The sequence below is a fragment of the Homo sapiens genome, chromosome 9 (assembly GCF_000001405.40).
Source record: "Homo sapiens chromosome 9, GRCh38.p14 Primary Assembly".
NCBI classification, from domain to species: Eukaryota; Metazoa; Chordata; class Mammalia; order Primates; family Hominidae; genus Homo; species Homo sapiens.
This window is the reverse complement of record NC_000009.12, coordinates 135,395,694-135,409,206: the sequence shown is the minus strand read 5'-3', so window position 1 is coordinate 135,409,206 and position 13,513 is coordinate 135,395,694.

The following is a 13,513-nucleotide window of genomic DNA, read 5'->3' as shown; positions in this document are numbered from 1 at the left end:
TGGGGGCCCTGGGGACTTCAGGTCTTGACATAGTGGCAGGTCAGTCCTCAGTCCTCAGGGCCTCTGCTGAGATGTTATTCATCCGTTGCCCCATATGCTGGAGAAGGCAGAGGGCCCCGGGGCAGCAGCCCCACTCGGGTCACTTTGTGTCTTCATCTTCCTCCCAGCCCTGGGCCCCTTCACACCTGCTGGCCCACCGCCAGCTTCCTTTGCACCCTTCCCAGGATGTTCTTCTGGCTGGTTTAGGTGGCATAGCACAATGTCTGGGGCTGCAGAGCTGGGCCTTGAATATCAGTTCTATGACTTATCAGCTGTGTGACTTTGACTACGTTGCTCAACCTCTCTGGGTCCCAGTTTCCTCAGATGGAGAATGGTGTAATGAATGAACACCTGTAAAAGTGCTGGTGCCTGTGAACTATCACCCTTCCTCTTCCCTGTGTTGCACAGGACGTACGGGACTCGGCAGTGGTGGTGGAGAAAGCCACCAGACCCAGGCATTCACTCAGCTCAGCTTCTGGTGGCAGACACGGGTGGCACCTACACTCAGTCACCACAACCCCTCTTCCTTGGTAACAAACTTGGGGTGTGAGTGGATCTTCATTCCCAGGGTTAGTGACCCCCAAGCGGATGAATCCAGCGCACCTTGGAGTCTTACCTTCCCAGCTTGGAGCTGGTTTAGGCACGGCATGTGAGGCGGTTCTGCGGGAGGGGTCTGAAGCCAGTTGATAACAGCAGCTTCTAGGGAAGGCTTTCTTGTTTTTCAAAGAGATTCCAGGAAGAGTCTCTCCTTCTTTTGCTGGGCATTGCTGGGTCTGGGTGGGATTCCTGGGGCTGTGGCAGTTGTTTTGTAGCCTTGAGGAGCATCAGCCTGAACCCCAGAATGGCCAGGAGGACAGAGGTGGAAGTGGCCAGGCAGCCAATTGCACTGGCTGGGGCCTTTCATGATTCTCGGAAGCAAATATTCCTTTTGCTTTCAGTGGGGTTTTTTTGCAATGAGTGGGGGTTTTCGCAATGCATTGGAAGGGCCTCTCCCTGACACTGTTCTCCTGCTGGGGCATTGGACACCTTGCTCTATGTGAACTTCTCCTGAGCCACCTGCTCTTAGCCCAGAGGACGAGGTCCAAGCTCCTTCAGTGCTCAGCGCACTCACTTGACTCTGGAGCATCTCAGGATCTCCCCAGCCCACTCCCTGCCATGATGCTCATGGTCTGTAGGATTCTTGCTTTTCTCTCTTAGTGTCCCATCCTCTACTGAACTGCTGGGTGAGGGTGGGTAAGATTTTAAAAATAAAATACATAATCTCTAACTATAAAAGGGAGATGTTTCAACGTGAAGATATTGAAATTAAGAAGTTCTATTCACTGGAGACAAATTCAAAAGAACAAAAAGACAAGCTATGAACTGAGAGAAAGTATTCTCATCATAAATATTAATAATTGACAAAGGATTAGTAGCCTGCATATATAAAGAGCATTTGCAGATCAGTGAGAAAATGACATACAACCCAGTAGCAAATGGCGAAATAAATGAGCAGGCATCTCACATAAGAGAGAAGCTGGATGCCTGATAGCACCCCAGAGGGGCTCAGCCTTGGCAGGGATCAGGAAGCCAAATGAGGAGACCCCACTGTGGGTCTCCAGGTGCAGGGCAACTCCATCTTAGATCCGACAGTCACACTGAGTGATGGATGGGAGTGGAGTCTTTAGGACTTCCTGTTCTGTATGAAGGGTAAATTTGAGCAGTTGCTTTGGAAAAATTTGGGCTCATTTGTAAAGTTCACCTGGGTCTCCAGGTGCAGGGCAACTTCATCTTAGATCCCACAGTCACACTGAGTGATGGATGGGACTGGGGTCTTTAGGACCTCCTGTTATATATGAAGGGTAAATTTGAGCAGTTGTTTTGGAAAAAATTAGGCTCATTTGTAAAGTTCAACATCCACAGGCTCCAAAGCCCAACGTACCCCAGGACACAGATTGTGCAAATGCCAGAGATGCCCCAAAGTACGCCGGTAGAAGGTGGGCAGGTGTATTCACGCTGCAGAGTAGTACACAGCATGGATGTGCTGTGGGCACAGATGCTCTGGAGTTCAAGTCTGTGACAGCAGAAAAGTCAAGCTCCAAATGCAACATACAGCAGGATCAGTAGAAAAACAACTGAAATGAAACAATGTGGGACTTAAGTACACATTTAAATGCAATAAAATGAAAGTCAAAGGAATCCAATAAGCATGGAATTCAGGCTTGTGTTTGCTCTGGGGTGGTGGGGAAGGCAGGAGGATGGGATAGGAGAGAATGCACAGTTAATGCTTTCATTCTTGGGTTTGGGGCATAGGGGTATTCATTTTATTATTATTATTAATTACTATTTGAGACAGGGTCTTGCTCTGTTGCCCAGGATGGAGTACAGTGGTGCAATCACTGCTCACTGTAGCCTTGACCTCCTGGGCTCAAAAGATTCTCCCACTTCAGCCTCCCAACTAGCTGGGACAACAGACGTGCACCACCACTTCTGGCTAATTTTTATTTTTCCATTTTTTTTTGTAGAGATGGGGTCTTGCTATGTTGCCCAGGTTGGTCTTGAACTCCTGGGCTCAAGGGATCCTCCCTCCTTGGCTTCCCAAAGTGTTGGGATTACAGGGCTTGAGCCAGTGTGCCTGGCCCATTTTATTAATGATACACAAATGAGTGCACAGACAAATTCATAAGTATAATCAAGCGGCCATGTGTGAAGGAGTGATGCGGGTGTGTCGTGGGCCCTGGGGTCTGCTTCATCTGCTTCAGAGCCCCTAAGTCCAGATAGCAAATGGAGACCCCTGACTCCATCCCTGGCAAACCTAACACCTGCTTAGAGAGAAGAATTCGGCACAGGGCAATATAGAAGGAAATAGCAACCGTCCCACTGCCTGGTTGCCCCGTGATGTCTTTCTTTCCCAGGATGTAACTCAGGGCCCACAGCTGTGTATGCCAGGTGCGGGGACAGGGCTGGCTGTGGCCACACGTGAGCTGGTGATCCCTACCTGCTTCCTCCAGCTCCAGGCGTTTTCTAAGCACCAGCTTATGCGACAGGAATGACCATGCAGGAAACTTTGGGTGAAGTTCAAGTTTAAAATGGTTTTCATGGAATTTCTCAGGCCCCATTCAGTCTAAGAGACAATCATTCCCAGTTTCTCCCTCCTGGCACTAGCTTGATGGAAGGCTGCCAGCCGCTGGTGTTATGGAAAGTCCACTTTGTAGGGCCTCTGGTTTTGACCTGTTTGTGGACAGGGTGCAAGCAGCTTCGTTGGTTTAACGATTTCCTGACCCAAAGAGGCTGCCCGAGAAAGTAGATGCTGAGTTGGAAGTGTCAGAACTTGGTTCTTTCCTGGGCTGAACGTGGGGCGGGGGTGCGGGGAGGGAACAAGGATGTCACAGGACATCTCAGCACGCAAAGGTCAGGTCTGTGACTGGCTTGGAGGCAGATTTTGGCAGAATTTCCTGGATGTGCCCCTTGGAATACTCATTCTGTGGGATGATAATACATGTGACATGAGGAAAAAGAATTCCAGTCAAGTAATGTCGGGAATGCTGATTTCTTTTCTTTCTTTCTTTTTTTTTTTTTTGAGATGGAGTCTTTCTCTGTCGCCAGGCTGGAGTTCAGTGGCGCGATCTCAGCTCACTGCAACCTCCGCCTCCCGGGTTCAAGCGATTCTCCTGCCTCAGGTTCCCGAGTAGCTGGGATTACAGGCATCTGCCACCATGCCCGGCTAATTTTTTGTATTTTAGTAGAGACAGGGTTTCACCATGTTGGCCAGGATGGTCTCGATCTCCCGACTTCAGGTGATCCGCCCGCCTCAGCCTCCCAAAGTGCTGAGATGACAGGCGTGAGCCACTGTGCCCGGCCCGGAACTCCGATTTCAGATGACGTTTATCATCCTTCTCGGAGAGAGGCTTCCCACGCACTGTGCCTTCCTGAGCACTGGGAGATGCTGAGAGGGGCTGAGCATGGGGTGGTCCTCAGATTCATCTGGACTGGGGGATATTCTGTGGGCAGACCCCTGAAGGGGCCCTTCCGGAAATGCCACCTGGTGTCCCACCCACCCTTCATCTCTGGGAGATGTTTGTCCGTCATGGCAGGTCCCCACTCCTGGCGTGTGGTGGATGAGCTCGTCTTCCTGGGGGACAAGGGGTAGGAGGAGTGGCAAGTGTTCCCAGAGGCGGGTCCTAGCGTGCTTCCTGCGCGGCGCCCCTCCCGTCCATCAGCTGATCACTGTCGTTTGAATCCCTGCTGCCACCGCCCTCTTCCACAGGTTTTTGAGAAGTTACCAGGAGTCAGAGGTCACATCTCAGCCCTCGCTGGCCTGAGTTTGAGATGGGGACTCTCACAGGTCCAGGCCTGGGCTTAGGCTGGGGCCAGGCCGGGAGAAGTGGAATCCAAGGCCACACAGCATGGATTTTGGAGTCGGACAGGACCAACCCCTGCAGAAGGGAAGCTCTTGAGGACACAAATCCCCAGGGAGTGGAGGGTGTTGGCTCCTCCTGGATCTTGAGCCTGCTGGCCTTTGGATTCGGGCTGCAAATACACATCAGCCTGCCTGGGCCTCCTGCCTGGGCCTCCTGCCTGGGCCTCCTGCCTGCTGGCTACAAACCTTGGGACCGGCCAGCCGCCGTGATCACAGGAGCCAGCTCCCTCTCGGAAGCCTCTTTCTCTGTGTGTCCACATCCTTCTGGTTGTGTTTTTCTGGGGAGACTGACGCACGCGGTAAGGAAATCTCGTTGTCCCCCAGAGGGGTCTGACTCTGCCCTGGTATAAGTCTCAGGCCACAGGCCATTCCTGGCCACAAGTCCTGCCACCTCCAAAGGCCACCATCCCAGAGGCTGCTGGGCAGTGTCCTGACCCATAGGCAGCTGGATGGATTCCAGGGGCTGGCCCAGAAGTCCAGAGGCCACCAGCCCTTGCCAGGATTCACACAGGTACCCAAGGTTGGCCTTTGCCCAGGTTGGGCCAATGTCCAGTTTTTCCAGTTCTCTGGTACCCAGAAAAGCCATATCCAGCTGTCGGCTACAGCTGCTCCATGCAGCCCCCAGGGAGCCCCCACTCCATAACCAACTGCCTTGCTAACTGATAAAGGCAGAAACAAATCCAATTCCACACTTGGCCAAACGCCAGGTGTGTCTCTGTCCAAGCTCCAGGAGCCCCAGACCACAGGGCTCTCCAACGCAGCAGCCTCAAAGCCAATGTCAATCCCCACCCGCCCAGGAGCTGGTCCACACCGAGCAGGCTGACCCTCCCTCAGGGCAGGAGGAGAGGGGTGGGGCCGTCTCCTCCCTACCCCAGGTGGCACCTTGGGCCCACGTTGGCCACACCTTCCTATAACTTCTTCCCTAGCTCCAGGCCAGACCCCGCCCTTGACCAGCCCTCTTTCCACGACGAATCCCAGGATGGCTGTGTCTCAGAAGCTGCTGGAAGGAGACTGAAGATACGCACCAAGAACCAGAGAGCCTGGGGATGAGGCATCTCATGCTGGCCTGAAGTTGAGGTCTCTTCTTCAGGGACTGGTCAGGGTCGCAGTCCTCCCAGAGTGGGGCCCCCGAGTTGGGGGCCTGCTAGTGCCTGTGGGCGAGGGTTGGGAGGTGAGTGTGGGACCCTGGTGTCCCCACGTGCTGCAGGCAGATTCTTGCTACAGCCACCTCCAGGGGTGCTCCTGGCAGCCTCACTTCTGTCTCAGTTCCCTGGGTCCAGCCAAGAGTGTGCTGGGGTCCCTGGCCGTGGCAGGCAGTGGGGCGTGGCTGGGAGGCCAGGGCTGTCCTGTCATCAAGACCAAGTGCTGCAGGCCTGGGGCTGAGCCGGCCTGGACAGCGGTCTGCAGAAGAGCCCCTGGTAGGAGCGACAGGTGAAGTAGCCGGTGGGCATCTCTGTCTCCCCAGTGACATCATCACTGTTTGTCTCCGTGAGGGCAGCAGCCAGCTCCCTAGAGCCACCCAGGCAGCACGTGGCCGGGAGGGGAAGGAGGGGCCGGGCACAGAAAACATGGCTCGAAGAAGCCAGCAGCAAGAGCCCAGGGGCACCCGACCCTTGGAGGCCCCAAGGCCAGATTTGCTGCCATGGCTGCCGCAGGCTCCGGGTGTGAGTTCCGCAGCCTCAGTCCCTCTGCAGCGGCTTCTGTGTGCCAGGCCACTGTGTCTAATCTCGGAGGCGATGAGGGGACTAAGGGAGGAATGGGGCCAAAAGCACCCAGTCGTTGGCCTGGGAATGAGCGAGCACGGATCCAGGGGAAATTTGATTATTAATAATAGAGATGATGTGTCTCCACCCTGGCCCCAGGGCCCTCGGTGGCCGGTGTTGAGGGCTGATGGAGGCTGGAGGAGGCACGGAGGGTGGGAGAGGGTGGGCCTGATGCCTGGCTGCTCCCCTTCCAGAGAGCACAGCCGGCTCCAGGGCCCAGGAGTGTCCCTGTTCCATTTCCTTAAAGGCAAACACAGAGTCAGAAACACGGGCATTCTCATTTGAGTGGGAGACAGAGGTCGATTAGGGATGCTGCTGTGAGCCCAGGAGTTACCATGTGCAACCTGCAACGTGCAACAGGCAATGCGCAACCAGAGGCACTCCCCATGGCGAGGGAGCGCCTGGCTCAGAGGACGTGCTCGGACCCACCGTGTGGCACAGAGGGTGTAGCAGCAGCAGGTGCACCAGCCACAGGAGGAGACTGGCAAGGCGTGGTATCCTCCCATCCCCAGTCCACATGCTAGGCTCTGGGGACCGTGGAGAACAAGACAGACATGAACCCTGCCACACAGTTTACCGTCTAACTGCAGGCAGGGTGGGCAAAGGGAACTTAAGGCAACCCCGAGAAGACATCAGGCAGAGAATTCCAGGAGGGAAGGGGGAGCTGGCCATGCCAGCTGGGCACATGCTCCCGGGGAGGGCACTGTCATGACCACAGGGATCAGCCACGTGAAGATCTGGGGCCAGCGGCCCAGGCCGAGGCCATGGCAGTGCAAAAGTCCTGGGGTGAGACCAGGCAGAGCTGGGGGTGAGGCGGATCATGGTTAGGGGTCATCAGAGGGGGGCACTTTGCACCCTTGGGCTCAGTGTGGAGCAGGTGCAGCATCACTTTTTGTTTTTGAGGTGGGGTTTTGCTCTTGTTGCCCAGGCTGGAGTGCAAGGGCACCATCTCAGCTCACTGCAGCCTCCGCCTCACAGGTTTAAGCGATTCTCCTGCCTCAGCCTCCTGAGTAGCTGGGATTACAGGCATGTGCCACCACACTCGGCTAATTTTTTTGATTTTTTAGTAGAGATGGCGTTTCACCATGTTGGCCAGGCTGGTCTCCATCTCCTGACCTCAGGTGATCTGCCCGCCTCAGCCTCCCAAAGTGCTGGGATTACAGGCGTGAGCTACTGCGCCTGGTCTCATCACTTTTATTAGTGAACCCTTTTGAGTTGCTGGCTCGGGTCTTCTCCTTCCTCTGGCCAAGGCCAGGTGGACACCCATGTGGAGTGTGATGGCTCAGGGTGTGGACCCTGGGACCGAACTCTCTGGGCTCAAATCCTGGCCCTGCCACTTACAGGCTGTGTGACCTAGGGAGAGTTTCTCCACTCTCTCTGTTTCCTTGTCTGCAGAATGGGGTAGCGGCGGTTCCCACCCCATAGGGTCATCGCAAAGGATGAAGCACGTTGGCACTGGAAGAGTTTAGTGCAGCGCCAGGCATGGAATCAGTGGCATCAGCGTCAGTCTACGAAACCCCAAAAACATCCTGTGTCCAAGGGCAGCTGAGCCACCCTCCGCTGCTGCCGCCCTGGGCTGCCGGGACCACTGGCTCATTGGCCGCACAGCTACCTGCTTTCCTCTCTCTGTCTTCCCGACACAGCCCGAGGGTCCCACTCTTTCTGCAGAGAAGGGCATTTCTTCTGGAACATGTGTCTCAGCCCCGACTCACCCCCTTCCAGTTTCCATCCCTCAGTGAGTCAAAAGTGACCCCATGATTGTCTGATGCACAGTAAGGCAGAATTGTGCGTCTCCTTTACTGTGAAAAATAAGGAAATTAAGGTCGGGCGCGGTGGCTCACACCTGTAATCCCAGCACTTTGGGAGGCTGAGGTGGGTGGATCACTTGAGGTCAGGAGTTCGAGACCAGCCTGGCCAACATGGCAAAACCCCGTCTCTACTAAAAATACAAAAATTAGCCAGGTGTGGTGGCGGGCGCCTGTAATCCCAGCTACTCGGAGGCTGAACCTGGGAGAATTGCTTGAACCTGGGAGGTGGAGGTTGCAGTGAGCCGAGAATGCACCACTGCACTCCAGCCAGGGCAAGAGAGAAAGACTCTGTCTCAAAAAAAAAAAAAAAAAAAAAAAAAAAAAAGGAAATTAGACAAAGTCCATTGGAACCACCCCCTGCCATTGGCATCCACTGAGCGACCCCACTTGTCGCCTGTAATCAGACTCACATCCATATCCTCAGTCTTGCTGGGCCTGCCTCAGTCGCTGGTGGAGCAGTTGGACCTTTTCCTAACATTTCTCAGCAAAACTGCCGGCCTCCCTTTGCATCCACAAGGCAGGCATCTGTGGGCTGCCTCTTCGTCATCTGTGGGCTGCCTCTCGCCAAGCAGGATTCACAGCAGTATTTTTACGAGAAAGCTTATTTATCCACTGCCCCACCCCGGACCCCACGAGAGGCACTTTCTGTAACTCATTCTTTCCTTCCAAAAGTACCTGTCCAGTGTTGGGTGGCAGGTCCAGGCAGGCAGCAGAGAACATGGGAGAAAGAGTCCCCACCCTCGGAGGCTTCTTTCACGTCCACGCTGGGAGAGAATGACAAATGCAGGAAGGGCAGGAGCAGGATTGGGAGGGAAACTGAGGCAGGCTGGGGATGGGGTGCCAGGTTGGGTTGGGGGTTATTTTACACGGATGATGGAGCCGCTCTGCTGGGTGATGTTCCTGCAGGAAGGAGGAAATGAGCCAGGCGGATGCAGGGAGGGGGCTCTTCTGGACTCAGAGGAGCATCCTGAGGCTTCACCATGAAAGTCAGAGTTGTGAGTGGGTGGATGGGAACTCGGACATGAGGATGGATGGGGGAAGGCTGGAGGAGCAGGACCCGGGGAGCTGGCATCGAGGGCTCTTTCCTGGGGGTCTTTCTTCTGCACCAGCTCGATGCCCTGGGGAGCAGAGCTTGTCTCACCCCACCCTCTTTTCCATCCCTGTCTGCAGGCACCTGGGGCCCCTTCCTCCCTCTCAGACCCCACCCACCCTATCTTCTTCCCTTCCTCAGCTGCTCAGCCTCCTGCTCTGTCACGTCCAGGCAATGACAGGGAAGATCCCACCCCTCCTCTGACCCCCCCACTTCCCTCCATGGGCTTCCAGAGCACCCCCTTCCCAGCCCACAGTGGTGCAGGCCATCCTTGCTTTGGGGCCCCAGCCTGCTGGCTGCAAGTCCTTCCAGCCCCATCATCTGGACCCAGCTCTGGCAAGGCCCCCACCGGCCATATGCTCCTGAGCAGGCCAGTGTGCCCAGCTCTGTGCCCGACCATGCTGCTGGGGACAAGGACACACATCATGCCTGCATAGACCTGTGCCTTGCTCCTGGTGGCTTCCTGGTCTGTGGTGGGGGGACATGCCCGCACTGTCCGCTCTACCCTGCATGCACAGCCGTGTGATATCTGTGCCTCCTGCTGCAGCTTGGGGCCCCCCTCAGGGTGCCCTGGGCATCTGCACGCCAAGCCTGGACACAGGCACTGCTAGCATACGCTGCATGACTGAGCTGGGAGCTGGGCAAGGCACGGGGCCCACACAGGCCCAAGGCCAACCTCAGTCCCCCTGGCCATCGCCTTGGGCTCAAGGGCAGGTGCTGGCACTTTGAGGCTGTGCAGGCCCCTCCTGGTCTCCCATGGCTCTGCCAGGCTCGCTGTTCTCCCAGACCCACCCTCAGACCCTAGCATCTTGCCCCGCCCCTGCAGAGCCACCCGAGTGGCTCCCACACACAGCGGGACCAAAACTCCCATCTTCCTCTGGAAATCTCTCCTCCCAGAGCCCCTACGCTGGCCTGGGGGCGCTGCTGCCCCTCACGTCCACAGCTGGTGGCCCGGCTGCTCCCTCTGTATGCCTCATCTCCTCTTTCCACCCTCGTTGCTCAATGTTGCCCCCAACTCTAGCCTGGACCCTGAAATGGTCCCCTTCCGGCTCCCTCAGGCAGTAGGTGCTCTCCCTAACTCCTCACTCTGACCACATCCGTCTCCACCAGAGCCCACAGCTCCCCGGGCCCAGGACCCCCAGTGTGGTCCCCGCTCACCCGGCCTGGATGGCTCCTGCCTACCCAGAGCTGCCTAGTGTGGCTTCCCTACCCGGCCCCACCCTATGGCCTTGCTGTGGACAGGATGTACCCTTCCTCAGGGCTCCCCGAGATCCCCACGCATTCCTCTGCCTGGGTGGCCGCTGGGGGCTCTGAGCAACGTCCTGCACCTCCTTCCTGCCTGGCAGGGTGCCTGGCACAAGGTCGGCCTCAGTGAAATGTGGGCTGAGTGAGTTCGTAAAGATGACCCTGGGTGCCCCGGGTCCTAAGTTGTGAGAGTCATGGCTGCTGTAGACGGGAGCCTTTGGGGCTGTCCCTCCATGCAGGCGTCCCCCACCTACAGCTCCTCTCCCAGCAGCTGCACCTGGCCTCCGTGGGCTTCCCTTCTCTCGACATCCACTCTCCTGCCTTTGAGGACTGGCTCCAGGACCCCATCCTCGGTGGTGGGGGCGCATTCCATGACAGACGAGACAGCCTGGCCTGTCCGGGATGGGGTGCAGGGATCTTGTCTTTGACCCTGGCTCGTCTGCTTTGCCAGCGCCCAGGATTTCCCACTGTGGCCCCACTGTAATCATGGAGCTACTTGTACACATCCTGGGTTGCCTGTCCCCCGGCACAGCCTGGCCCCAGGGGACCATCTGCCTTGTCCATCTGACTACAGCCCCCAGCCCAGGACAGTTGGTTGCAGGTGCACAAAAATATTTCTTGAACAAACAAAACCCCTCTACGGCTCCTGGTGTGGTCTGCCGTGCTGTGCCTCAGTATCCCTATCTGAATGTGGATGATAATGTATTTGCTGTGAGAATCACACGAGATAATCCACGTGAAGAGTGTAATCCAGCGCCTGGCCTGCAGCATTCCACAGATGGGTGTGGGCCAGGTGTCACACGAGATAATCCGCGTGAAGAGTGTAACCCAGCGCCTGGCCTGCAGCATTCCACGGACGGGTGTGGGCCAGGTGTCACACGAGATAATCCGTGTGAAGAGTGTGACCCAGCGCCTGGCCTGCAGCATTCCACGGACGGGTGTGGGCCAGGTGTCACATGAGATAATCCGCATGAAGAGTGTAACCCAGCGCATGGCCTGCAGCATTCAACAGGCGGGTGGGGGCCAGGTGTCACACGAGATGATCCATGTGAAGAGTGTAACCCAGCGCCTGGCTTGGAGCATTCCACAGGCGGGTGTGGGCCAGGTGTCACACGAGATAATCCGCGTGAAGAGTGTAACCGAGCGCCTGGCCTGCAGCATTCCACGGACGGGTGTGGGCCAGGTGTCACACGAGATAATCCGCGTGAAGAGTGTGACCCAGCGCCTGGCCTGCAGCATTCCACGGGCAGGTGTGGACGAGGTGTTGTTACTCCACCACAACCACAATCACAAGTTGCGTCGTGGGCCACCACTCACATTGCCAACTGTGCCAGGTCCTCGCTGGGTTGTGGGCTCCACCAGGCCCAGAGGAGGCTCCCAGGTGAGGCACTCTGAGGGAGCAGGGAGCTTCTTTCATGCAGGGGCATCATTGCAGCGGACCGAGTGAGGACGATCCTCTCTGGGAGGGGCTGGGAGCAGGGCTCTGGCTCAGGGCACAGGCTTGGGATGGGCACGGCCTCTGCCCTGTGTACCTGCCCTGTCCCTGCGCCAGCAGTGTGCCACTTCCTGCAGACTGCCTTGGCACTGGGCGCACTGGGAGAGGCCACGCTGCACTTCCCCGCTGGGCTGCTCTCCTCCCGAAAGGAAGACAAATGAATTTTAATTTGTTCCAACTTGACACAGAAATCCCCCCGGAGAAACTGGGTCACGAAGCACAGAAATCATCTGCTGGCTGCATCTCACGGTCCTTTCCCACAAACAGGCCCTGGTTCTTCCTGAGCACACGGGGGTCCTGGGGGTGGTCCCTGTGGACCCCAGGCTGGTGCTCAGAGTTCCAGAAGTGGATGGGCCTTGGGGAGATGCGTGGCAGCCCAGGAACAGAATTCTGCACCCTCGGAGCTCTAAGGGGCCTTGGGGAGGCTGGTCTGCACTCCACCTGCTGTGAGAAGGTGAGGATGCAGTCCAGAGAGGGGAAGGGACTTGCCTAGGGTCACACAGTGCATCCAAGCTGAGACAGGTGCGAAGCCCTTCTGACTCCTAGTGCGGTGAGCGTTGGGAGGGGTGGTTTGTGCCTCCCAGCCTCAGTCCTGCAGACACTGTCTATGTCTCACTCTCTGCCAGGTGCTGACACCCCTCTGGTGGCGCCCTGTCCTGTAAAATGTGATGACCACACCTGCTTTCCAGGTGTGCGAATGTTAAGGCAGCTGTCCCCAACATTTATGGCACCAGGGATGGGTTTCATGGAAGACAATTTTTCCATGGACAGGGTGAGGGTGATTTCGGGATGAGCTTGTTTCACCTCAGATCATCAGGCATTAGATTTTCATCAGGAACGCACAGCCTACATCCCTTGCATGCATGGTTCACAATAGGGTTCTTGCTCCCACGAGAATCTAATGCTGCTGTGGATCTGACAGGAGTGGAGCTCAGGCAGTCATGCTCGCTCAGCCGCCACTCACCTCCTGCTGTGTGGGCTGGTTCCTAACAGCCCATGGAGCAGTACCTGTCTGTGGCCTGGGGTTTGGGGACCCCTGTGTTAGGGGAGTCCGTGTGTCCCAGGTGTCCACAGGCTTCTGGGGGTGGGCTCAGAGTGCTGGCAGGTCCTCAACGTTCTCTCCCACCTCCCCGATCCTCTCCCACCTCCCAGATCCCAGGCACATTCAGGGTCTGAGACTGGGAGTGTCCAATTTCATCAGGTGGACACTCAAGTTCCCCCAGGTCAGTGTGTTAAGCCTCAGCAGGTAACCCCAAGGTCACTGCGTTTGTGAAAGGGAGCTTGCCCAGCTGCCTGCAGCAGGCCCGAGTCTGGGGTCGGCTCAGCCACTCTGGGCTGTGCACTCTTGGCCAAGGCAGTTTCCTTATCTCATTGAGCCTCAGTTTCTCCATCCATTTAATTGAGGAGATGGAGGCCTAACAGCCTTGTGTGGGGCTCAATGAGCAGGGTTTGTGGGGGCATGTGATGTGTCCTGGAGCCTGCCAACTCCAGGTGGCCAGGGCTATGGTGATGGCCAAGCCTGCCAAAGGTGGCTCTGAGCAGCCCTGAGATGGACATTTTTGGAATTAATGGCATTTGGGTCCTTGAGTTTTACTTGGTGAAGGGAGAGGACAAGTGGAGGCCTCAGAGGGTCAAGTGAGTCACACCAGGCAGGAACACCACCCTGCTCTGGGC